The sequence below is a fragment of the Homo sapiens genome, chromosome 5, assembly GCF_000001405.40.
Source record: "Homo sapiens chromosome 5, GRCh38.p14 Primary Assembly".
NCBI classification, from domain to species: Eukaryota; Metazoa; Chordata; class Mammalia; order Primates; family Hominidae; genus Homo; species Homo sapiens.
The window spans coordinates 177,113,813-177,138,601 of NC_000005.10; the positions used below are offsets into that span (position 1 = coordinate 177,113,813).

At 51.4% G+C, this 24,789-nt stretch overlaps 1 protein-coding gene across 12 annotated transcripts in view, besides 11 other annotated features; it reads left to right on the forward strand.

Annotated features, from left to right (window-relative positions):
* Nucleotides 15,653-15,702: an enhancer, noted in NCBI's record as "active region_23693". NCBI's record gives its function as "activates an Ori minimal core promoter by ATAC-STARR-seq in GM12878 lymphoblastoid cells {active_cell/tissue: GM12878}" and the evidence as "EXISTENCE:reporter gene assay evidence [ECO:0000049][PMID:35858748]".
* Nucleotides 17,292-17,845: an enhancer, noted in NCBI's record as "H3K4me1 hESC enhancer chr5:176558105-176558658 (GRCh37/hg19 assembly coordinates)". NCBI's record gives its function as "activates a minimal SCP1, AML or CMV promoter by ChIP-STARR-seq in naive H9 embryonic stem cells {active_cell/tissue: H9 hESC(naive)}" and the evidence as "EXISTENCE:reporter gene assay evidence [ECO:0000049][PMID:30033119]".
* NSD1 (nuclear receptor binding SET domain protein 1) overlaps nucleotides 17,986-24,789 on the forward strand; it is a 168,416-nt gene continuing 161,612 nt past the window's right edge. For 3 of the 12 annotated variants that reach the window (NM_001409305.1, NM_001409306.1, NM_001409308.1), the window contains exons 1-3: nucleotides 17,986-18,122; nucleotides 21,275-21,388; nucleotides 22,129-22,218. In NM_001409305.1, coding sequence (NP_001396234.1) covers nucleotides 22,165-22,218 — 54 coding nt within the window. In that variant the 5' untranslated portion in view covers nucleotides 17,986-18,122; nucleotides 21,275-21,388; nucleotides 22,129-22,164. Of the gene's footprint in view, nucleotides 18,123-19,202; nucleotides 19,343-19,787; nucleotides 19,823-19,960; nucleotides 20,141-20,323; nucleotides 20,434-21,274; nucleotides 22,219-24,789 lie in introns of those variants that run through there. The other 9 variants (NM_001409307.1, NM_172349.5, NM_001409304.1 and 6 more) reach the window with 8 other exon arrangements.
* Nucleotides 18,952-19,503: an enhancer, noted in NCBI's record as "NANOG-H3K27ac-H3K4me1 hESC enhancer chr5:176559765-176560316 (GRCh37/hg19 assembly coordinates)". NCBI's record gives its function as "activates a minimal SCP1, AML or CMV promoter by ChIP-STARR-seq in primed H9 embryonic stem cells {active_cell/tissue: H9 hESC(primed)}" and the evidence as "EXISTENCE:reporter gene assay evidence [ECO:0000049][PMID:30033119]".
* Nucleotides 18,952-20,057: a biological region, named in NCBI's record as "NANOG-H3K27ac-H3K4me1 hESC enhancers GRCh37_chr5:176559765-176560316 and GRCh37_chr5:176560317-176560870".
* Nucleotides 18,996-19,290: an enhancer, noted in NCBI's record as "tiled region #75; HepG2 Activating non-DNase unmatched - State 10:DNaseD". NCBI's record gives its function as "activates a minimal TATA promoter and a strong SV40 promoter by Sharpr-MPRA in HepG2 cells {active_cell/tissue: HepG2}" and the evidence as "EXISTENCE:reporter gene assay evidence [ECO:0000049][PMID:27701403]".
* Nucleotides 19,327-19,996: a silencer, noted in NCBI's record as "silent region_16673". NCBI's record gives its function as "represses an Ori minimal core promoter by ATAC-STARR-seq in GM12878 lymphoblastoid cells {active_cell/tissue: GM12878}" and the evidence as "EXISTENCE:reporter gene assay evidence [ECO:0000049][PMID:35858748]".
* Nucleotides 19,504-20,057: an enhancer, noted in NCBI's record as "NANOG-H3K27ac-H3K4me1 hESC enhancer chr5:176560317-176560870 (GRCh37/hg19 assembly coordinates)". NCBI's record gives its function as "activates a minimal SCP1, AML or CMV promoter by ChIP-STARR-seq in primed H9 embryonic stem cells {active_cell/tissue: H9 hESC(primed)}" and the evidence as "EXISTENCE:reporter gene assay evidence [ECO:0000049][PMID:30033119]".
* Nucleotides 20,058-20,609: an enhancer, noted in NCBI's record as "H3K27ac hESC enhancer chr5:176560871-176561422 (GRCh37/hg19 assembly coordinates)". NCBI's record gives its function as "activates a minimal SCP1, AML or CMV promoter by ChIP-STARR-seq in naive H9 embryonic stem cells {active_cell/tissue: H9 hESC(naive)}" and the evidence as "EXISTENCE:reporter gene assay evidence [ECO:0000049][PMID:30033119]".
* Nucleotides 20,077-20,236: a silencer, noted in NCBI's record as "silent region_16674". NCBI's record gives its function as "represses an Ori minimal core promoter by ATAC-STARR-seq in GM12878 lymphoblastoid cells {active_cell/tissue: GM12878}" and the evidence as "EXISTENCE:reporter gene assay evidence [ECO:0000049][PMID:35858748]".
* Nucleotides 20,297-20,596: a silencer, noted in NCBI's record as "silent region_16675". NCBI's record gives its function as "represses an Ori minimal core promoter by ATAC-STARR-seq in GM12878 lymphoblastoid cells {active_cell/tissue: GM12878}" and the evidence as "EXISTENCE:reporter gene assay evidence [ECO:0000049][PMID:35858748]".
* Nucleotides 20,610-21,163: an enhancer, noted in NCBI's record as "H3K27ac hESC enhancer chr5:176561423-176561976 (GRCh37/hg19 assembly coordinates)". NCBI's record gives its function as "activates a minimal SCP1, AML or CMV promoter by ChIP-STARR-seq in naive H9 embryonic stem cells {active_cell/tissue: H9 hESC(naive)}" and the evidence as "EXISTENCE:reporter gene assay evidence [ECO:0000049][PMID:30033119]".

A 24,789-nucleotide genomic window follows, 5' to 3' on the forward strand; every position in this document is an offset into this window, starting at 1 on the left:
ATCTCAGTCTTCATTGCACTCCATAGCCAGGCGCCTGTGGTCCCAGCTACTCGGGAGGCTGAGGCACGAGAATCGCTTGAACCCGGGAGGCGGAGGTTGCAGTGGAGCCGAGATCGCGCCACTGCACTCCAGCCTGTGCAACAGAGATAGACCTTGTCTCAAAAAACAACAACAACAAACTCCACAGTCCAGATAACGTTTTCCTGGGCCTGAGAACCTTCCCCATGCAATTCCCCAGCTAGTCACACGGTGGCGACAGTGCACCATGAGCCCTCTGCTTCTCCCTCCCTTTCAGCCAAAGCAAAAGCCAAACACCAATGTTTTCTAGATGCCTCTAAGAGATGGAGGGAGATTTAGGGAGAGATCTAAGGAGTCTCCTTTAGTCCATTCATATCCCCTGCCTATAGGTGAAAATGATGACTCACAGAAGTCAATTCATACCCCGAAGATCACCCAACCAGGTTTTGTTATTTTGTTTTTGTTTTTGTGTGTGAGATAAGAGTCTTGCTCTGTCACCCAGGCTGGAGCACAGTGGTGCAATCTCAGATCACTGCAACCTCTGCCTCTGGGGTTCATGCAATTCTCCTGCCTCAGCTTAGTGAGTAGTAGCTGAGATTACAGGCACGCACCACCATGCCCAGCTAACTTTTGTATTTTTAGTAGAGACGGGGTTTTGCCATCTTGGCCAGGCTGGTCTTGAACTCCTGGCCTCAAAAGATCCGCTGGCCTCGGCCTCCCAAAGTGCTGGGATTACAGGTGTGAGCCACCACGTGCGGCCTCCAACCAAGTTTTGAACCCTGGTCTGTGCGTCTCCCAGGACAGCTGCAGCAGCTGCCTGTCCTAGGCCATCAGTCCTGGTTCAGCCTCCCGCCCCCATCACTGGGCAGTGCTGCCTTTGCTGAGCTGACAGATCAGAGGTCTGCCCTGGGAGTGGACAAGGGCAAAGACTTTCACTTTTGCTTTCTACTTCTGAAGTTTAGGTCACTTATGTAGCTTTTGCACTGTGGGTGAGGCGCTGGGATAGTTCCTATCGCTGGGGAAGAGCTTGTCTGAGGGACGACGCCTCGGTGTTCCCACAGTTTCCCTCCCCCATCCCAGCCAAGGCTCCCAAGACTGAATTCCCCGGCCCTCCTAGCTTCTAAAGAGGAAGAGAGCTAACTTTGATGGAGGACTTCCTCTGTGCCGTGTACTATGCCGGACATCCTTTCTGCATGCATTCAGTACAGAGTAATGAAGTACACACTGTGTGCTTGTCACAATAGACAGCACTACAAGCTCTTGCATGCAGCAATAAAGAAATATTTATTAATGGTAACTTGTGTGCTGGGCGAGGTGGCTCACACCTGCAATCCCAGCACTTTGAGAGGCTGAGGCGGGCGGATCACATGAAATCTGGAGTTTGAGACCAGACTGGCAAACATGGCGAAACCCCATCTCTACTAAAAATACAAAAAGATTATCCAGGCATGGTGGCACACACCTGTAATCCCAGCTAGCTACTAGGGAGGCTGAGACAGGAGAATCGCTTGAACCTGGGAGGCGGAGGTTGCAGTGAGCCAAGATGGCGCCACTGCACTCCAGCCTGGGCGATGGAGTGACTTTCTTAAAAAAGCAAAACAAAACAAAAAACACCTAATGTTGGCCGGACGTGGTGGCTCATACCTGTAACCCCAACACTTTGGGAGGCCAAAGCGGGCGGATCACTTGAGGTCAAGAGTTCGAGACCAGCCTGGCCAACATGGTGAAACCCCATCTCTACTAAAAATACAAAAATTAGTGGGGTGTGGTGGCGCACATCTGTAATTCCAGCTACTAGGGGCGCTGAGGCAGGAGAATTGCTTGAACCCGGGAGGTGGAGGTTGCAGTGAGCCGAGATCAGGTCACTGCCCTCCAGCCTGGGCGATAGATCGAGAATTTGTCTTAAAAAAAAAAAAAAAAAAAAGGCCAGGCACGGTGGCTCACGCCTGTAATCCCAACACTTTGGGAGGCCGAGGTAGGCGGATCACAAGGTCAGGAGTCCGAGACCAGCCTGGCCAACATGGTGAAACCCCCGTCTCTACTTAAAAAATACAAAAATTAGCCGGGCATGGTGGCGTGCGCCTGTAATCCCAGCTACTCGGGATGCTGAGGCAGGAGAATCGCTTGAAACCGGGAGGCGCAGGTTGCAGTGAGCCGATTTCGCGCCACTGCACTCCAGCCTGAGCGACAGAGCGAGACTTCAACTGAAAAAAATATGTCTGTATATAAAGATATAGATATTTACTATAAATAAGCACACAGCTTAATACATATTTATTGAATGAATGGCTTATGTTGAGCCTGAGTTGTCTGTGAGATTCCCAGGTAGTGAATTTGGGGCTGTGGGACAAATCTAGGCTAGATTGAGGCCCCAGCATTGCTGGCATCTAGGGAATGCACGTGCTGAGTGGATGACGATCCCTCGTGGAAACTGGGTGAATAATAAGCAAATGGGCCTGGGATGGGGCACTGCGACACCTTTGTTTGTCAGGCAGGGAAAAGGGGAGACATGCCCATGACATGGAGGCATAGAGAAGGGTTTGTGAGAATTAGGAGGGATCAGGTAGGAGTGGGATGGCCTGGAAACCTGGTTGGTTCAAGTAGGGTAAAGAGTCAAATGCTTCTCAGAGTAAAGCAGCAAAGATGGTGAAACGTCACCGGATTTGGCTACAGCGGCACTACTGGTGATCTGAAGCCAGGGTGCAGTGGGATCAGGAGGAAGATGAGGAAGAGGGGACAGGACAGTGGAGGGAAGGAGAAGCAGAGCCTGGTTGCAGGGTAGTTGACATTTTTCTCGGCCGTTTGTGGGCTGCCGGGAAGGAGCAAGAAGACAGGAAAGGGTTGGCGCTCCAGAGGCGAGAGAGGAGAAAGGGACACAAAAACCCATGGAAGCAATAGGGCGGGACTCAAAGCCCACGAGGAGGGCCGGCCCAGTTGTTCTCTGTCTCGTTTTCTAAGCGCTGCGGCAGGGCTGGTGGTGAATTCAGATAAACAGGCACAAAGGGCCAGTGGGGTCGCTAGCAAGATCTGGGACACGCTGAAAGTTAATAGGAATTGGCTGCCCTTTGCCGGCGCAACCCAACGTACAAAGATGATCTTTTCTGAGGCTCCACCGCCGCAGAGCCCTTCGCGCGGCCCACGGCACCAGCCGCCGCTGATTGGCCCGTGGCAGCCACCTGACCGAACGGACCAATAGGAGGCGTTCTCCCAGGAATGCGGCCCGCGTGTGGCCGGGAGCGGAAGCCCGACCTGAGTGCGGCAGGGCCCAGAGGCTGTGCTGGCCACGTGCACCCGGCTGGATTCCGCGGGCGCCGAACTGGGAGTGTGGAGCCGGGTCTCCCACTACCCTGTTCCGCCGGCCGAGGGAGTTGGGGAGGCCGCCTGTCCCAGACGCCCGGACCCTGTGTCCTTCTGATAAATTCCCCCTTTTTCTCTCGCTGGCTTCTGGGGCCATGTCCTTTTTACCCCCTCTGGTCCAAAGTAGTGTTTTAGGAGATTTGGAAGCAAGCAGAACCAAGTTGAAATTACTTGCTCCGCTGGGCGCGGTGGCTCACACCTGCAATCTCAGCACTTTGGGAGGTCTAGGCGGGCGGATTGCTTTAGCTCAGGAGTTTGAGACCAGCCTGGGCAACATGGCGAAACCGCGTCTCCACTAAAAAATACAAAAGTTAGCCGGGCGTGGTGGCGCGTGCCTTTACTTCCAGTTACCCTGGAGGCCGAGGTGAGGGGATCACTTGAGCCCGGGCCTTCTAGGGTGCAGTGAGCGGTGATGGCGCCACTGCACTCCAGCCTGAGCGACAGACTCCGTCTCAAACAAACAAAAATTAGCCGGGGATGGGGATGGCGGTGCGCGCCTGTGGTCCCAGCTACTCCGGTGGCCGAGGAGGGAGGATCACTTGAGCAAGAGTGGGCAGGCTGTGGTGAGCCGAGATCACGCCACAGCGCTCCAGGCTGGTCGAAAAAGTGAGGCCTTGCCTCAAAAATAAATAAATAAATAAATAAATAAATGCTGGGCATGGTGGCTCACTCCTGTAATCCCAAATAAATGCCGGGCCGGGTGGCTCATGCCTGTAATCCCAGCACTGTGGGAGTCCAAGGCGGGCAGATTGCTTGAGCTCAGGAGTTTGAGGCCAGCCTGCGCAACATGGCAAAACCCGTCTCTACCAAAAAATACAAAAATTAGCAGAGCGTGGTGGCGTGTGCCTGTGGTCCCAGATACTCGGGAGGCTGAGGCGGGAGGATCGCTTGAGCCCAGAAGGCAGAGATAGCAGTGAGCTGAGATCACACCACTGCACTCCAGCCTGGGTGACGGGGCAAGACCCTGTTTCAAAAAAAGAAAAGAAAGAAAAATTACTTGCTTACCATGTGACCTAGGACAAGTGTTTAACTTCACTGAACCTCAGATACCTCTTCTGGAAAATGGGACTACTAATACCTACTTCAGTATCTTTGTGAAGATTGTAAAGTCTCGTACCTGGCACACTGTGAGCTCCCAAAACACGTTGGTAACAGTTTTTATGATTGTGGATAGTCCTACCTTAGAGGAAGTCACAATCTCATCACACACGGCCTTGTACTAAGGCTTTTTCTTCCTACTGCCCCTTACTAGAATGTACACTGCTTGTTAACAACAGTGTAACCATATGACTTTTGAGTCTTCCAATTCCACAGTCCCTTCACTTGGTCTAACAAGGGGAAATTTAAGCTATACAGGAACAGTAGTAGGACAGGACATGAAACCATGGGATTTACATCAGGAAAGACACCAGCAATAAGGTGGGAATGTTTATAACACAACAGGGAGGTACTGAAACACATCTTGCTAGAAGGCTGCCATGCACCAACTTTGTGTGAACCTCGCTAAAATAGTAATCGTGATTACAATCATTGGAGGACTTGCCAGGTGCCAGATACTGTTCTAAACTTACATATTACCTCTCAACAATCCCACTTTAGGCTGGGCATGGTGGTTCACACCTGCAATCCCAGCACTTTGGGAGGCCGAGGCGGGTGAATCACCAGCCTGGCCAACATGGCTAAACGCCGTCTCTACTAAAAATACAAAAATTAGCTAGGCATGGTGGTGCACATCTGTAATCCCAGCTACTCAGGAGACTGAGGCAGGAGAATCCTTTGAACCTGGGAGGTGGAGGTTGCAGTGAGATTGTGCCACTGCCCTCCAGCCTGAGCAACAGAGTGAGACTCCATCTCAATAAAAGAAAAAGAAGAAGAAGAAAAAAAAAGAAAATCCCACTTTACAGAGCGATCACAGAGGCACAGAGAAGTTCTCGGTAACTTACCCAAGGTCACTATTAAGTGGCAGAGCTGGGGGTTCAAATCAGGCCTTGTGGGCCAGCGTCTGTGCTCATAACTTCACAGTGTGCTGCCTCTCCAACACCAGCTCAGGCAATGGGCACTCTAAAGACCCACCACAGCCAGGCACGGTGGCTCAGCCTGTAATCCCAACACTTTAGGAGACCGAGGCAGGCGGATCACAAGGTCAGGAAATCGAGACCATCCTGGCCAACATGGTGAAACCCCATCTCTACTAAAAAGTACAAAAATTAGCTGGGCATGGTGGCAGCTGCCTGTAATCCCAGCCACTTGGGAGGCTAAGGCAGGAGAATCGCTTGAACCCAGGAGGCAGAGGTTGCAGTGAGCCAAGACCAAGCCATTGCACTCCAGCCTAGGCAACAGGAGGGAGACTCCATCTTAAAAAAAAAAAAAATAGGCCAGGCACGGTGGCTCACGCCTGTAATCCCAGCACTTTGGGAGGCTGAGGCAGGCAGATCACCTGAGGTCAGCAGTTCAAGACCAGCCTGGCCAACATGGTGGAACCCCTTCCCTACTACAAATACAAAAACTAGCCAGGCGTGGCTGGGCATGGTGGCTTACATCTATCATCCTAACACTCTGGGAGGCCCAGAGTGTCAGGTGAGTGGATTGCCTGAGTTCAGGAGTTCAAGATCAGCCTGGGCAACATGGTGAAATCCTGTCTCTACTAAAATACAAAAAAATTAGTCGGACATGGTGATGTGTGCCTGTAATCCCAGCTACTCAGGAGGCTGAGGCAGGAGAATTGCTTGAACCCAGGAGGCGGAGGTTGCAGTGAGCTGAGATCATGCCACTGCACCCCAGCCTAGGCGACAGAGCGAGACCCCCAAACAAAAAAACATAAGGTTGGGGACTTTCTAGATTATAAGATACTTAAGAGATACAAGGACTGCCCGGGCATGGTGGCTCAATACCAGCACTTTGGGAGGCCGAGGGGGGGTGGATCACTTGAGGTCAGGAGTTCAAGACCAGCCTGCCCAACATGGCAAAACCCCGTCTCTACTAAAAATACAAAAGTTAGCCGGGCATGGTGGTGTGTGCCTGTAATCCCAGCTACTCAGGAGGCTGAGGCAAGAGAATCGCTTGAACTCGGGAGGTGGAGGTTGCAGTTGGCCCAGATTGTGCCACTGCACTCCAGTTTGGGCAACAAGAGCAAAATTCCATCTCAAAAAAAAAAAAAAAAAGAGATACAAGGACCAGTGTATGATCCATCTACCAAAGACATTTTAGGGAAATTTGAATATGGAAAAGGCATTAGACTGAAGCAAATTATTGTTAGGTGGTATTGTGGTTATGTAGAAAACTGTTCTCCTTTTTGGAGAAGTTTACTAAGTGTTGTAGGTGAGAAGTATTAGGATTTCTGCAACTCAATTTGAAATGCCTTCGAAAAAAGTCTACCAAGCAAATATGCAAAATGTTAACGCATATTGAGTCCAGGTCTTTTTTGTTTTCTTTTTCTTTTTTTTTTTTTTTTTTGAGATGGAGTATCGCTCTTGTTGCCCAGGCTGGAGTGCAATGGCGCAATCTCGGTTTACGGCAACCTCAGCCTTCAGGGTTCAAGCAATTCTCCTGCCTCAGTCTCCCGAGTAGCTGGGATTACAGGCATGCGCCACCATGCCCAGCTAATTTTGTATTTTTAGTAGAGACGGGATTTCTCTATGTTGGTCAGGCTGGTCGCGAACTCCCAACCTCAGATGATCCGCCCACTTAGGCCTCCCAAAGTGCTGGGATTACAGGCGTGAGCCACTGCACCCAGCCATTATTTTTCTTTTTTACTTTTCTGTTTTTGTCTTTTTTTTTTTTTTTTAAGACAAAGTCTTGATCTATCGCCCAGGCTGGAGGGCAGTGACCTGATCTCGGCTCACTGCAACCTCCACCTCCCCGGGTTCAAGCAGTTCTCCTGCCTCAGCCTCCCAAGTAGGTGGGATTACAGGTGCATGCCACCACACCTGGCTAATTTTTGTTTCTTCATTTGTTTTTTGGGATGGAGTTTTGCTCTGTCGCCCAGGCTGGAATGCAGTGGTACAATCTCGGCTCACTGCAACCTCCACCTCCCGGGTTGAAGCCATCCTCCTGCCTCAGCCTCCCCAGGAGTTCAAATTACAGGCACAGACCACCGCACCCAGCTAATTTCTGTATTTTTAGTACAGACAAGATTTCACCATGTTGGCCAGGCTGGTCTTGAACTCCCGACCTCAGGTTATCCTCCTGCCTTGGCCTACCAAAGTGCTGGGATTACAGGCGTTAGCCACCAAGCTTGGCTAGTTTTTGTATTTTTATTAGAGATGGGGATTCGTCATGTTGGCCAGGCTAGTCTCGAATTCCTGGCCTTAGGCAATCCACCCACTTGGGCCTCCCAAAGTGTTGGGATTACAGGCGTGAGCCACCACGCCTGGCCTTTTCTGTATGTGTTTAAGATATCGCCAGGCGTGGTGGGAGGCCAAGGTGGGTGGATCACTTGAGGTCAGGAGTTCGAGAGCAGCCTGGCCAACATGGTGAATCTCCACTTCTGCTAAAAATACAAAAATTAGCCGGGTGTGGTGGCACACACCTGTAATCCCAGCTACTCGGGAGGCTGAGACATGAGAATCGCTTGAACCTGGGAGGCGGAGGTTGCAGTGAGCCGAGGTCGCGCCACTGCACTCCAGCCTGAGTGACAGAGTGAGACTCTGTCTCAAAAAAAAAAAGTACATCTGTAAAAAAAAACTGAACAGGCCAGGCGTGGTGGCTCACGCCTGTAATCCCAGCACTTTGGGAGGCCGAGGTGGGCGGATCAGGATCACAAGGTCAAGAGATCAAGACCATCCTGGCCAACATGCTGAAACCCCGTCTCTACTAAAAATACAAAAATTAGCTGGGCATGGTGGTGAAGGCCTGTAATCCCAGCTGCTTGGGAGGCTGAGGCAAGAGAATCACTTGAACCTGGGAGGTGGAGGTTACAGTGAGACAAGATAGCACCACTGCACTCCAGCCTGGTAGCAGAGCGAGACTCCATCTCAAAAAAAAAAAAAAAAAACAAAACTGAACAGTTGAACAATTAGTGGGGCGTGGTGGCACACGCCTGTAATCCCACCTACTTCAGAGGCTGAGGCAGGAGGATCGCTTGAACCTGGGAGGCAGAGATTGCAGTGAGCTGAGGTCACGCCATTGCACTCCAGCCTGGGCAATAGAAACTCTGTTTCAAAAAAGGAAAAACTGAAAAACTGAACATATTTCCTACCTTTGCCCCAGCTCCATTTTTCATCTGGTACCCCTCCTCCCCAGAACCTGCCTTGACCCCGCCTCTGGTACCACCCCCAACTTCAGCCCATGGTTGGGCCTAACCAGTGGGCACCCTCCACCTGTGACTGGAGTGATCTGGGCTGGAGCCCCAAGGTTATTCAGTCGTCCTCAGCTTCCTTGAGCCTACCGCCCCTCTCTTCTACCTCAGCTAATGATCTCACTTCTCACCTCTCCAAGAAAACAGAGGCACTGGCTGGGACTTCCTTCAATTTCCTTACCTTCCCACATAAAACACAGCTGAGGCCCCAGTTTGCCTTTCCCTCCAGTATCAGAGGTTGAGGCATTCGTCCTCTGGTCCATGGCCCATGCCTTCACCTGTGATCCCACCCACACACCCCGCACCTTCTTTGCCTCAGTCGTCTCTTGGTCTTGTACCTTCAACCTTCCCCTCTCAATTGGCCTCTTCCCAACAGGACTGTACTCATTCAATAATTTGTTCATTCAATTCACAAATATTTATTGAGCATCTACTCTGCACCATGTCTTGCTCTACGCATTGGGAACAGACCAGTGAAGGAGTCCTCACCTCTTGGTGTTTCCATTATAGACAACCAGAAAGACACGAGTATGAATAATAACAAGAACAAAAATCAAGCAATCAAGGCTGTGTAGTATTGGCATAAAGATGGGTCTATAGATCAATGGAGTAGGAGTGAGAATCCAAAAATAAACCTGTGCTTTTGTGGTCATGAGTGCCAAGACCATTCAAATGGAGAAAGAATAGTCCTTTCAACAAATGGTGTTAGTACAAGTGGATATCCACATGCAAAAGAATGAAGTTGAACCCCTCCCTCACACCATAAATTAATTCAAAATGGATCAAAGTCTTAAATATAAGGACTAAAATTGTAAACCTCTTGGCAAAACACATAAGGGTAAATCTTCATGATTAAGTTTTGGTCAGTAGTTTCTTAGATATGATACCAAAAGCACAAGCAACAAAGAAAAAATAGGTGGCTCACACCTATAGTGCTAGCACTTTGGGAGGCCAAGGCAGGTGGATTGCTTGAGCCCAGGAGTTTGAGATCAGCCTGGGGAACATGGTGAAACCTTGTCTCTACAAAAAAATATAAAACTTAGCCAGGCATGGTGGCACACATCTGTAATTCAAATACTAGGGAGGATGAGGTGGAGGGGATCACTTGAGCCTTGGAGATCAGGGATACAGTGACCCCAGATCGTGTCACTGCACTCCAGCCTGGGTGACAGAACAAAGTGAGAGCCTATCTTAAAAAAAATTTAAAAAAAGTAAAGAAAAACCAAGAAAACTAGACCTGATCAGAATTTAAAATTTTTGTGTTTAAAATGACACTGTCAAGAAAATGAAAAGACAACCCACAGAATGGGATAAAATATTTGTAAATTTCATATCTGATAAAGGACATATCCAGAATACATGAAGAATTCTGACAACTGAACAATAAAGACGGCCGGGTGCAGTGGCTCACACCTGTAGTCCCAGCACTGTGGGAGGCTGAGGCAGATGGATCACATGATGAGGTCAGGAGTTCGAGACCAACCTGGCCAACATGGTGAAACCCCGCCTCTGCTAAAAATACAAAAATTAGCCGGGCGTGATGAGCACCTGTAATCCCAGCTGCTCAGGAGGCTGAGGCAGGAGAAGTTGCAGTGAGCCGAGATCATGATACTGCACTCCAGCCTGAGCGACAGAGCGAGACTCTGAAACAAAACAAAACAGAACAATAAAGACAAATTACCCAATTTTTAAAAAATGGGCAAAGGATCTAAATAGATATTTCTCCAAAGAAGATTATAAATGGCCAATAAGTACAAAATACAAAAATTAGCCGGGAGTGGTGGCGTGTGCCTGTAGTCCCAGCTACTCAGGAAGCTGAGGTGGGAGGATCATCTGAGCCTGGGAGACGGAAGTTGCAGTGAGCCAAGATCGCGCCACTGCACGTCAGCTTGGGTGACAGAGTGAGACCCTGTCTCAAAAAAACACCAAAAACCAAAACCACTGGATTGTACTCTTTGTGAATTTTATGGTATGATAATTATATCTCAACAAAAAGAAAATAAAGAAATAAATAGGAAAGACATCAGGTAATTTCAGAGAGTGGTAATAGCTCTAAGGCAATTCAACAGGAAGATGTGCTAGAGTGACTTGGGACCTGATAGGAGCTCCTAGAGCCAGGGGAGGGGCCAAAGAATACCTGTTTGAGGAGGGACTCCAGCTGATTGACAGGAGGAGTCATGGGGTGGCAGAGGGAACAGCAAACCCAGGCCCTGTGATAGAGAGGCCAACTATATCTCTGGAAAAAGCCCTGTCCCGCTATCCCCCACTCACAGCTGCTCTCTTTGTTCTACAAAGCCCTGTTTTCCAATCTCGGTTTTTGCTTAAAGTTTTTGCCTGAGAGATATGAAGATTTTCCAGATTGTTCTGAGTATGGCTGGAGTTAGAAGAACAAGTTCCCAGACTGCACCTTCCATTTGTCCTCGGTGGGCCTGAGAAATCACATCTCTTCGGTCTTCTTTCTCCCAGTTTCTCACTAAGGAGGGAAAAGCCATATCTCACCCAAGTGAATCTCCTTCGGAGTCAGCGGGGGTGGGGGGCGGGGTGCCTCAGAGACTGGGTGCTGGGGAGCCTGCAGAGTTTCCCAGGCCTTACCCAACAAACTCGGGCTACGCTCTGATCTTGTCTGTCTGTTCTAGAATTAGAATCCAGCAGGGGATGGCTGTCACAGGGATGCATACTAACACTGGAACACTGGTTTACTTCTTTCTTTTTTTTTTTTTCCGAGACGGAGTTTCGCTCCTGTTACCCAGGCTGGAGTGCAATATGTGATCTCAGCTCACTGCAACCTCTGCCTCCTGGGTTCAAGCAATTCTTCTGCCTTACCCTTCCAAGTAGCTGGGATTACAGGTGCCTGCCACCATGCTGGGCTAATTTTTTGTATTTTTAGTAGAGATAGGGTTTCACCATGTTGGCCAGGCTGGTCTTGAACTCCTGACCTCAGGTAATCCACCCACCTCAGCCTCTCAAAGTGCTGGGATTACAGACGTGAGCCACCACATCCAGCCTAACACTGGTTTTCATGAGAAACAAAGTCAGATCTTTTCTGACTGAAAGTCAATCTGAGTTGGCTGAAGGCCTTTTTTTTTTTTTTTTTTTTTTTGACGCAAAGTCTCGCTCTGTTGCCCAGGCTGGAGTGCAGTGGTGTGATCCTGGCTCACTGCAACCTCAGACTCCCGGGTTCAAGCAATTTTCATGCCTTAGCGTCCCAAGTAGCTGGGATTACAGGTGTGCACCACTATGGCTGGCTAATTTTTGTATTTTTAGTGGAGATGGGGTTTCACCATGTTGGTCAGGCTGGTCTCAAACTCCTGACCTTTCGTGATCCACCCACCTAGGCCTCCTAAAGTGCTGGGATTACAGGTGTGAGCCACTGCACCCAGCCTGGCTGAGGGATTTGATGATGGGTTCTGCCTTTGCCATTTCAGACACATTTTCTATAAATCAAGCTAGCTGAATCTACAGCTCTGGAGGGTTTTTTTTTTTTTTTTTTGAGACAGAATCTCGCTCTGTCACCCAGGCTGGAGTGCACTGATGTGGTCTTGGGTCACTGCAACCTCTGCCTCCCGGCTTCAAGAGATTCTCCTACCTAAGCCTGCCAAGTAGCTGGGATTACAGGCGTGCACCACCACGCTCAGCTAATTTTTGTAGTTTTAGTAGAGAGGGGATTTCGCCATATTGGCCAGGCTGGTTTCAAACTCCTGACCTCAAGTGATCTGCCCACCTCGGCCTCCCAAAGTGCTGGGATTACAGGCGTGAGCCACCAGACCTGGCCTCTGGGTTTTTTTTTTTTTTTTTGAGACAGAGCCTTACTATGTCACCCAGGCTGGAGTGCAGTGGCGCGATCTCAGCTCACTGCAACCTCCGCCTCCCGGGTTCAAGCGATTCTTCTGTCTCAGCCTCCCGAGTAGCTGGGACTACAGGTGCCCGCCACCACGCCCAGCTAATTTTTGTATTTTTAGTAGAGACAGGGTTTCACCGTGTTAGCCGGGATGGTCTTGATCTCCTGACCTTGTGATCTGCCCGCTTTGGCCTCCCAAAGTGCTGGGATTACAGGCGTGAGCCACCGTGTCCGGCCAACGCCCAGCTAATTTTTTGTAGAGATGAGGTTTCGTTGCCCAGTCTGGTCTTCAACTCCTGCCCTCCAGTGATCCACCCACCTCGGCATCCCAAAGTGCTGGGATTATAGGCTTCAGCCACCACGCCCAGCCCTTTTAGTATTTATTGAGCAACTACTGGGTACAAACTCTTTGTCATTCCTCCACTAGCAAGAGCAGTGATTTCATGAGCTGCTTTTCAGCCTTTGTTTTCATCTGTAAAATAGGATATCTTCTCTTTGAGGGGCAACAAGGGGTAGGTGTGGGTGGGTGAGCTATAAACCCTAATCCTCACCCAGGAGGAGGTGCAGCCACCTTTCTGGCCACTGGCTGGAGACCTCCCCCTTTCCCCATACTCCTCCTTCCACTCCCTGATCCAAGCACTGCCAGAACCCAGCATTCTCTCACTTTCTCTTCCTCCGTTTTGAATCAGTAGGTTCAGAAGTGCTTGGCTTGATATGAAGCTGGGGGTGCATCCAACAAAATCAGATGCCTAGAGAAGGAGCAGGATTGGGGTGGGAGAGAGAAGACAGATAATTGGGTTGAGGAACCTGGGGGCATCCTGAAGGAGGTGCCCAGTGGGCAGTTGCTTTGTGCTGGGCCCAGGGCCAGGTTATACGTACTTTGAATATTTTATCTTCATAGCTATCCCATTTGGTGAGGCTCAAAGAGCGAAAATGACATTCCTGGTAAATGGCCCTGCTGCAGTTTGAATTTGTATCCATCTGACTCCAGGTCACGTAAGCTCTTTTTGTTTTTGAGACGGAGTCTCGCCCTGTAGCCCAGGCTGGAGTGCAATGGCGGGATCTCAGCTTACTGCAACTTCCACCTGCCAGGTTCAAGCGATTCTCCTGCCTCAGCCTCCCTTGTAGCTGGGATTACAGGCACGTGCCACCACGCCCAGCTAATCCTTTGTATCTTTAGTAGAGACGGGGTTTCACCATGTTGGCCAGGCTGTTCTCGAACCCCTGACCTTGTGATCCGCCCTCCTCGGCCTCCCAAAGTGCTGGGATTACAGGCATGAGCCACTGAGCCTGGTCATAAGGTCTCTTATACTTTTATTTATTTATTTATTGGAGCCAGAGTCTCACTCTGTCACCCAGGCTGAAGTGCAATGGCATGAACATGGCTCACTGCAGCCTCCACATCCTGGGCTCAAGCGATCCTCCCACCTCAGCCTGCCAAGTAGCTGGGACTATGGGTGCGAATCATACACCACCATGCCAGGATAATTTGTTTGTTTGTTTGTTTGTTTTTTTAAATGGAGTTTCGCCTTGTGGACCAGGGTGGAGTGAAATGGCGCGATCTCAGCTCACTGCAACCTCAGCCTCTTGGGTTCAAGCGATTCTCCTGCCTCAGCCCCCCGAATAGCTGGGATTACAGGTGTGTGCCACCACATCCGGCTAATTTTGTATTTTTAGTAGAGACGGGGTTTCACCACATTGGTCAGGCTGGTCTCAAACTCCTGACCTCATGTGACCCACCTGCCTTGGCCTCCCAAAGTGCTGGGATTACAGATGTGAGCCACAGCGCCTGGCCTACTTTTTGTATTTTTTGTAGAGACAAGGTTTAGCCATATTGCCCAGGCTGGTCTTGAACTCCTGGGCTCAAGCGATCCGTCTGCCTCAGCCTTCCAAAGTGCTGGGACTAAAGGCGTGCACCACTGTACCTGGCCTCTTATGCTTTGTAAAGCATTGTCTGGCACCAAAGGCTGTTTGTTCCTCAAACATCTTGAATCCTTTTTGGGAGGATCTGAGTTTTGTACAACTCATTTGGTCCGTTATTGAAACCACAATTCTGTCTGATGGAGACACAGGCTTGGAGAGGAGAGGAGGGGATAGATCAGGCATCATGAAATGTTTCTGGAGCACTCACTCTGAGCTTCACGGTCTGGGCTTGTTCACTGGAGGTCAGAGAGTATATGTCCTTAGTCTTGTTGGAAGTGACTGTCCAACTGGATGAGACCAGATTTAGAAGCCATTAGTTACTACCAGGACTCAGGGAAAATGGCTGCCTGTAGGGGTGGGAAGACTACCAGGAGGAGGAGTCTTCTAAACAGGATGAATGGAGTCTGCCCAGGGGAAAAGGCAGAGTGACTGGCATGAGCATAGGCTGGACAGGATGTGGCTTGTCCTGGCACTGGGCAGTTGGGGGAAGTGAGAGCAGGAGGGCAGGGATTAGTGGCCACCATACCAAGCTTCAGAAGGAGGTTTAAGAAGAAGAAAACTTAAAGGTGGATGCTTGAGTCCTTCGGGCTGGGGCTGGGCGTACAGGCTCAGGTTAGCGACAGGACCTGGTATTTGGGGCAGGAAGGAGACTGCTGGAGGGCTGCCTGGTCTCAGATGTGGTCAGGCCTTCCTTGATCTTAAGTTGAAAACTGATTCAATTTTGGGGAAATCCGTGGGTGGGGAGAGGAAGGAAACAGCTCCTAGACCCATCAGAAGGCATGGTCCTGGTGTTCACCAGCTATGTTCAGGATTAATTACCAAAGGCCTCCATGCCTCTCCCAAGACCTAACTGTTTAGTCAGAAGGCAGATGCTGTTCCTGTTCAGTGGGAACAAGGAGCTGGAACTAGGATGGGAGTTTGTCTCTGGGCAAGTCATGCTTCCTTTCTAGAAGATGGGGATAACAATAATACCCATCTCAGAGGAGTAAATGAGTATCCTGCAGGGTAGCTGGAACAGAGGAGGATAAGCTACAACTGTTATTGTAACAACAGGCAGAGCCCTTGCTGGAGTTGTGTTTCTAGGGGAGGAACCAGTGTCTTCTGGACACAGAAGAGTGAGCTTTCTACTGCTCAGATGCCATCACGTCATTATCCTCCTCCCTCACCTTCCATGGCTGCTTACTGCCTTCCAGATAAAGCTTCAACTCTTTAACTTAACCAACCAAGCCCTGAAGGGTGAGGCTCTGTGTCTGCCCCATCCTTGGTTGAGCCTCTTTCTGCACTCATTACCTCTGCCCCGGCACATACACTAGACATGCTTGTTGTGGTCAGTTCCTCTGAAGCCTGGTGTTTCTCTGGACTCTGCTGGAATCTCTGCCTCTTCCCCTTCTTGCCTGGCTATTCCTGAATATCCTCCAGGACTCTCTCTGGATGTTGCTTCCTCAAGGATACCCCTGAGTTAGTTTCAAGGGCATTCTCAGCTTCTCCAGCACCCTTGGCTTCTCTCTCAGTACTCAGTTCTCTGCCTTGTTATTACCTGTCTGCTTTTTCCACAAGGCTGTGACGGGGAGCCCCAAAATATTTATGGAATTAATGAATGAAAAGGGGTGGTTCTAAGAAAAAAGAGATCACTGTACATTGGCCAAATGTCCCAACAGGTATCTATTATATCTCACCAGGGTAGGAATTATCAGTAACCAAGATTTACAGATGAGGAAACTCAGCCCAAGGTAGAGTCCCTCTGCCTGTCATTCAAATTTCTGGGCACCTGTGTGTAAGCACCATGCTGGGCTTTTCACAGGCAGTATGTGTAGGGTGGACAGGCTGAGAGCAAGCACGTGAGGCCCATCATACCAGGTGAGAGTTAAGGTGCTGACACCTTGCATGAGGGCTTAGTCTCTTGGACCTCAATTCTTCGTAGGGCTGGTGAAGGGTCATAGGAACGACTGTATGTGAAGTGCCCAGGACAGTGTCCAGTACACTAGTACAGACCCAGCAAGTGTTTACTGATTCTTATCTCAGTCCTAAGGATGGGAGTCACAGGCCCAGAAAAGGTCCCTGGATTGAGACAACCAGCCAGAGGAGAGCTGAGTGTACATCCCAGGCCCCCACCCTACAGGGACACAGTCCTCTCCCTTCTGCCCCCACTCAAGGAGTCAGTGTCCTTGTGAGAATCTATGGCGCTGTGGATCTTCTCAACCTAGTGCTGGCACACATGAGATGCTTGGCCAGGGCCTGCCAGATGGGGAGGCTGGAGATGGGTCGGCTGTGATTGAGACCTCTGTGGCCAAGTTTTACTCTAAGAGGCAGGTAAGGCCCTCAGGGGTTATCCCAGAGAAGTCTGAGAGGTTTTCCCTGGGGTCCTGGTCTTCTCCCCCAGACCTGTCAGCAAGCAGTTCATCCCCAGCTGCCAATCTCCTTTTGGCCCTCAGTCTTCCAGAGGAGCTGGGAGGTGGGAGAGAGGGGTTCTGCAGGGCAGTGTTGTTCAGAGGTGAGCTTTGGAAGAAACTGTTGTCTCAACCCTATTTTCACACCATAGCACCTTTATTTAACTGTCTTTTCCCGAGGCCAGGATCTCATCTTTTGTTTCCCCAGCACTCAGCACACTGCCTGGAATGCAGGAAATGGTTGCTGAATGAAGCGATGAATTACATTTCAGCACTCATCAAGTGCTCAGCCTATAACTAAGTCTGAGTGTAGGCTGCTAACACTTAGACCTTTACCTTACAGAATCTTCGCAGCCAGTGCTGTGCATTGGAAGTTGCAGATGGGGAAACTGAGGCTCAGGACTGTTAAGTGACTAGTTCAAGGCAGGTCTCAGGCCCTCAGGATGGTTAGTGGCAAAGTAAAGGACTGGGAGGAGCATTGATGAATTGGGGCAATTGGCAGAGGAGTAACTGTCAGTCAAAATGATTGGCTCAAATTATTAGGTGTGAAGAAGGAACCAGTCAGAGCTTGCCTGTTGAGTCGAATTGCCCAGATGGGATTAGCAGGGTGAGTGACCCTAGCAGAACAAAGAGCTGGCCCTTGTAGGTATAGACTCGACTTTTCTCTGGTTGGTCCCAACACATAGACAACTACCAACCTGACTTTGCACCTGAGAATCTTCAGGGTACCTCAGACTCTTCAACAGAAGGAGCCTCCCTGAGGTCACAGCCCTCTCATCAGTCCCGTTCCAGTGGGCACTTTCCCTCTAACAAAGCCCACTTGCTGTCTTGGCAGGGTCTGCATCCGGCACTTGCAGACATGTGCTAAGGGCCTGTTGACTTGGGAGCCTCCATCACTGGACTGTGGGCCTTGGAGAGCAAAAGGGTAAGAGCATCTCGAGCTCCACGCCTGCTGGGCCAGTCGCTGGCTGAAGGCAGGGGAAGGATGGAGTTTAGCTGGCCAGCACTAATGTCACACAGGGCAACGCCAAAAATGGCCTTTCTCCCAGGTGGGCTCAAAGTTAACAGAAGGCAGTGAGTAAACAGTCCACTGGGGCAATAACTATGCACATTTACTAAGCCATGGGAAGAATAGTAGTCACGTGGCCCTCGAGGGCGGTGCCCTCAGCTTGAGATGGAGTTAACTCCAAATCTAATCACAGAAGGCTTTCTGGAGGAGGCGGAATTTTTATGGCGGCCGGATCCGGCTTTCTCTGAACAGCGAGAAGGCGCTTAGCGCCCTAGGGACCAGGTAACTCCTGAGGTGAGCTTCTTGGTGGGGATCAAGCCCAGGGGGCGACGGAGTCCGGGCTGGGGGAAGGGCCCGAGGGGCTGGAGTCGCAAGTTCAGGCCCAGCTTGGGCTCCCTGTCCCGCCCTTCCGCTGTCTTGGGGGATTGGACGCCACGCGGTCGTGCTAGATTCGGTGCTGCGGGCCCGGTGCAGGATGCAGGCCGTGAGGCCCCAGGCCGAGGGCTGCGCCAGCGGGCTTGTCCCGGCCAGCCGGGCGGTCCCGTGTCCCGGCGCAGCTCCGCTGGGGTCCAGATGCCCGGCCCTCAGGGGCGAGGCGCGCACTCCCCGGGGAACCGGGCTGCGGAGCAGGCGGCCCGCTCTGGGCGGCGGTGGCACGAGAGGGCCATCTGCCTGGGTGCCGAGAACTGCAGCGTCCGCGGTGCGAGGCGCGGCCCGTCCCGTCCCGGCCCCCAGCCCGGCGCGCACGCACATACCCACGCCGGCCGGCGCCCGCTGCCCGAGCCCCCGTGCCAGGCCCAGACCTTGACTAGGCGCGGGAGGCGGTGCAGGGACTAGAGGACCCCCTCCCCCGGCGTTCCCCTCGCCCCGCCCGAGGCTGCGAGGACCCCTGGGCTCGGGGGTGGTGAGGGAGCTTCGTCCCGGCTGGGCCCGGGCTGGGGACTCGGCCTCCCTGGGCGGGGGCCGCACGGCTGCAGGCCGAGGTGCGGACGCGCTGTCAGGCTGCAGCCCGGCTCGGTGCCGGGGGTGGGCTCAGCGCTGGGGTCGCCTGGCTTCGTTCCCCCGCGGAGGCCACGGCCGGGCGAGCAGTGCCGGGGCGGGTAACCCGACCCGGCTCCCCAGAGCCGCTCACCCCGCACGGCCCGGCAAGGGGAGGGAGAGGGATGGGGGGAGGGGGAAGGGAAGGGGTGGTGGGTGAGGGGCTGTGGGCACCGCAGGGCCGAGTCCCCGGCCCGTCTGCGCTGCTGTAGGGCGGCTGCCCGCGGCACCCGGGACGATCCAGCCTCTGCCTCGCGGGCGTCGAGCCTGAGACAGGAGGGAGCCCTGGGGCTGCACAGGCTTGGCTCAGGGAGGCAGACCCGAGCTGCTGCCTCCATTTTGTTTCCTGCTCAGCTTGGTCTGTGGTGGTGGTGGTGGTGGTGGTGTGGGTTTGGGGTGCGGCCGGGTAGGGGGTTCGCCTGCGGCCGCGTCTGCTCGGGGCCTGAGGCCTCGAAGACCCCAGCCCAAGCCCCCAGGTGAGCCCTGCGGCAGGAGGGGGGTTGCCTTGGCCTCGGGCCGAACCCAGCGGGCTGAGGGCAGGTGCCCAGTGGATGGGGAGCCTGGGCTGTAACCTAAGATGGAGGCCGGGACTGACGCGGGCCCGAGCAGGGCTGGCGGGACGATCGGACAGGCCTCAGCCGCGCCAGGTGCCGCCTGGGTTGGGGTTCGAGACGCGTAGGGTGCGGGAGCCGTGTGCGGCCCGAGGCCAGCGCCGTGCCCCGAGGTAGGTGAGGGGATCGGAATGCCACCCACGACGCCCGCAGGCCCCGACACTCCAAGGAGGCGCGCGAGGCCCCTGGGGAGCCCGCCTCAGGCCCCGCCCGGGCAGCCGGGCCGGCCCGTAGGCCCCGGCCGCGAGCGGGCGCGCAGGGGGAGGGGAGGGGGCGGCAGCGGCAGCTCCGCTGATTGGGCGGCGCTCTCACAAGCCCGACTTCACCCGCCCTGAACCCCGAAGAGTGAGAGAAGGGAACGCGCGCGCTCGGTGGGGGAAGGGGTGCGCGCGCACTCGGGGCCCAGCCGCACGCGGGCCGGCGCGAGGCGCTCGGTCGCACGCGCGGCCGCGGGGGCGCGCGCGGTGGGGGTGTGAGGAGGAGGAGGCGGCGGCGGAATAGGCCGGGGCAGGTCGCGCTCGCTGCCTTCTCCCCTGAAGAGAGACGCGGGGGGAGGGGGGTGCGGCGAGCGGCCCCGCTCTCTCCCCACCGCTCCGCTCGCACCCCAGTGTAATGAGGGTCACCCCCTCCCCCCAGCTGGCCCGGGAGGGGGCGCGGGGCACGGTAACTAGTGCGCTGGGGTGGGCGGCGGGCAGGCGCGAGGAGAAGGGAGGGAGGAGGGTGGCCGGGCGGGGAAGATGGTGGTGGCCGTAAGGTGAGGGGCTCGGGGGAGGGCCAGGCGCGATGCGGGGTTGGTGGCCGGCGGCGCTGCAGCCGCCGGCCTCCTCCCCCTCCCCCTCCTCCATCACTACCAGCCGGGCTCAGGCCTAGCTGGCCGGGCTGCCGCGAACTTCCTCCCGGCGCGGCCCGTGCCCCGCCGGCCGCCTGCGAACACCTCGGCCTCCGCCTCCCCTCAGGTAGCAGGCTGCGGGGCGCGGGGCCGGCTGCCCTCCCGCAGCAAACTTTGCTTGCTGCTGAATATTGATGAGAGCGATCGGCTCGGCTGGGAGGTGCTGCCGCGGCTGCGGGAAGGAGCGCGGCCCGGGCAGGCGGCGGCGGCGTCGGCAGCAGCCATGTTTTTCGAGCTGTAGCAGCTGCTGCTACCCTGACTGGGCTTCGCTGGCCGCCTCGGTTTCTCCCTCTGCCGGGTCCAGGCCTCTTCGCCCTGCAGCTGCGGATCCAGCAGGCCTGCATTCAGGAAGGCGAGCTCTGGGGTGCAGCCGCCTCGGCCGGCTCGCCTGCGGCCTGCGCACCGCCGCTGCAAAGGCTCCGGCGCTGGCTGGGCGCAGGGTGCAGCGCTATTGTGACCGCTGCGCCCTAGCGAGCCAGGAAGGGGGGGGTACCTTTTTGTGCAGGGTCCAGGAGCCCCCCTCGGACCCCGCAGCCTTTTGCTTTTGAGAGATCCAGCTGCTCGACCCCTGGCGAGGGAGGGGGAGGACTAGTCCTGTTTGAGAATTGGGAATTTTGACGGGCAGAGGGGTTTTAATTTTAGTTCATCCCAAGTGTCCACCAGTCTACAGAGGAGGAAAAAGAGACGGGCTGTTTCTATGTAGCAGGATCGGCCCAGCTTCGGGAAAATGGAGTTTTCAGAGGCTCATCGAGGCCATTTTTTCATCTCCAGTCGGGGGAACTTTTTCTGCCCATGGAAGTGCAGCAGAAAGGCATAGAGGCCACTAGGCCTTGAAGTGGCTGCCATTTTAAAGAGTCGAGTCAGATGGCCTATTAACTCAGATTAATTGCTGTGCTTTTGGATTCCAGGTTGATGCCGGCCCAGGATGGATCAGACCTGTGAACTACCCAGAAGAAATTGTCTGCTGCCCTTTTCCAATCCAGTGAATTTAGATGCCCCTGAAGACAAGGACAGCCCTTTCGGTAATGGTCAATCCAATTTTTCTGAGCCACTTAATGGGTGTACTATGCAGTTATCGACTGTCAGTGGAACATCCCAAAATGCTTATGGACAAGATTCTCCATCTTGTTACATTCCACTGCGGAGACTACAGGATTTGGCCTCCATGATCAATGTAGAGTATTTAAATGGGTCTGCTGATGGATCAGAATCCTTTCAAGACCCTGAAAAAAGTGATTCAAGAGCTCAGACGCCAATTGTTTGCACTTCCTTGAGTCCTGGTGGTCCTACAGCACTTGCTATGAAACAGGAACCCTCTTGTAATAACTCCCCTGAACTCCAGGTAAAAGTAACAAAGACTATCAAGAATGGCTTTCTGCACTTTGAGAATTTTACTTGTGTGGACGATGCAGATGTAGATTCTGAAATGGACCCAGAACAGCCAGTCACAGAGGATGAGAGTATAGAGGAGATCTTTGAGGAAACTCAGACCAATGCCACCTGCAATTATGAGACTAAATCAGAGAATGGTGTAAAAGTGGCCATGGGAAGTGAACAAGACAGCACACCAGAGAGTAGACACGGTGCAGTCAAATCGCCATTCTTGCCATTAGCTCCTCAGACTGAAACACAGAAAAATAAGCAAAGAAATGAAGTGGACGGCAGCAATGAAAAAGCAGCCCTTCTCCCAGCCCCCTTTTCACTAGGAGACACAAACATTACAATAGAAGAGCAATTAAACTCAATAAATTTATCTTTTCAGGATGATCCAGATTCCAGTACCAGTACATTAGGAAACATGCTAGAATTACCTGGAACTTCATCATCATCTACTTCACAGGAATTGCCATTTGTAAGCAGTTTTTGGTACAACTTAAATATATACATATATGTATATATACAGGCCACTTAAAGGGAAACTTGTAACAAATTTGTTTTTGGTTGCTTATCAGTTCACAGCTGAAATCCTATTGCTAATCATAAGCTTTGGGCAAAATTTTACTTTGATTTTTAAATTTATCTCTGTTGTATGAATTTGGTTGTTTTAAGCTTTTTCCAAATAACTCTTCATTGAGAGTAGGCTAATGCTTTTAAAGGCATTTGATTGAGTTCAGGTTTAATTTCTCAAGTTGGAGGTATACATATATGATTAAAAAAAAAAAAAAAAGATGGGTTTTGGCCTGCCAGCACCATGAGTGCAGGTGAACCAATTTAGTACTTGGAGTCCTGTTGCTATATGTGGCAGATTATTTTTTTACTTGATGACTTGACTCTTACTTCAGGTTGAAGGGCATTTTGAACACAGATTAAAGTGGCTAAGATGAAGTTTTCTTGGACATTGTCAAAATCTAAATTAGGCTAGTTTTTCTGAACTACCTGTTTTGAAGGTATAGCATCCTGTGCTTTTGATAACTGCCACCATTAGCTCTTTTTTTTTTTTTTGAGGTGGAGTCTCACTCTGTTGCCAGGCTGGAGTGCAGTGGTTGATCACTGCAACCTCTGCCTCTTGGGTTCAAGCAATTCTCCTGCCTCACCCTCCCGAGTAGCTGGGATTACTGGTACCCATCACCACGCCCGGCTAATTTTTGTATCACCATTAGCTCTTGAAGTTTTTCTAGTTTTGTTTTGTTTTATTTTATTTTATTTTAACAGAACCCTAACTAAGACAAAGTTTTATATTTATTTATTGTTTAGAGACTGGCCTTGTCATGTTGCCCAGGCTGGCGTCGGGACTCCTGGGCTCATTCGATCCTCCTGCATCAGCTAGAACTACAGTAGTTTCAGATTTTGAAGTGTGTATGTGTATGTGTGATATGTATATATTCCGTGTGTATAGAAATGGAGAGTATCTTATTTGAGTTGTTGTTTTCAGTAATGCTGTCAAGTATTGTTAGAGGGTGATAAATGATAACATTTGTTTTTATTTGAGCTTATGAAGAATTTCTTGACTTTCTAGCTAAATGATCAGTTCACTTCTCTTAGCCTCAATTTTATTGCGTCTAAATTCCAGAAGTTCTTGATTGCTATAAGATTCCTTCAGCTTTAAATATTAATATTTGATATTGATTTTGTTTCTGCCCAAACACATTGTTTGGTCACCGCCGGTAATGTTAGCAAAGAGAATTTTTTTTGGCCAACAAATGTCTCATACCACATTCAGTTTTTATAAGAAAAACTTTTATGGTATGTTGTTATTCTGAGTTCATTAAACATTCGCTTTACCTTATATCCCTGCTGTTCTTTAAAGTTACAGAGGGAGAATGTGGGTGTGTCACTTTTGTTTCTGTTGATTTGTATCTTAATTATGCCTTGGTACTCCTTGGTTTCTTGGCAATTGCAGATTTAAAAAAATTTGCTTTAGTGGTTATCTTGAGTCTGAATTGTCCTACACATTAGGGTGGGTAGGCTGTTTTGAAAACCTATTGGCAGCTCAGACAAATCCTTTTTCTTGGGTTCACGTTGAAATTTATTTTATATATATATCGTGTCTTTGTTTTTGCACATAAATTTAAATCTGAGAATGGAGATAGATGTTTCTCTAGAAGCATACAAATAGAATTGTAAACCTGTTTCTCGTCAAAGAGATGTTAGTGGAGTATTGGTTCTATTAAAAAAAAAATGAAGGCTGAGTGTGGTGGCTCACACCTGTAGTCCCAGCACTTTGGGAGGCTGAGGTGGACAGATCACCTGAGGTCAGGAGTTTGAGACCAGTCTGGCCAACATGGTGAAACTCCGTCTCTACAAAAATTAGCCGGGCGTGATGGTGGGCAACTGTAATCCCAGCTACTCGAGAGGCTGAGGCAGGAGAATCGCTTGAACCCAGGAGGCAGAGGTTGCAGTGAGCCAAGATTGCGCCATTGCACTCCATACTGGGAAATAAGAGTGAAACTCTGTCTCAAAAAAAAAAACAACAAAAAAACAAACAAACAAACAAACAAAAAACTGAAAATATTGGAGCCTTTAGATAGTAGGTTACATGTCTAAAATGGGAGTTAGCAAATGTATAAATGTAGAAGTTTTTTTTTCAGGGAGAAATTGAAATTGCTCAAAGACTTTATCACCTTGAAGAAGCAAGTATGTAGTTTATTTATTTTTTTGAGACACAGTCATGCTGTCACCCAGGCTGGAGTGTAGTGGCGCGATCTCAGCTCACTTCAACCACCTCCTCCTGGGTTCAAGCGATTCTCCCACCTCAGCCTCCCGAGTAGCTGGGACTACAGGTGTGCACCACCATGCCTGACTACTTTTTGTATTTTTATTAGAGACGAGGTTTCACCATGTGGGCCAGGCTGGTCTTGAACTCCTGACCTCAGGTGATCCGCCCACCTTGGCCTCCCAAAGTGCTGGGATTACAGGCGTGAGCCACCGTACCCATCCCCTAATTTATTATTTTAGGAATTTGGTTCAAAGTTGTGATTGAAAT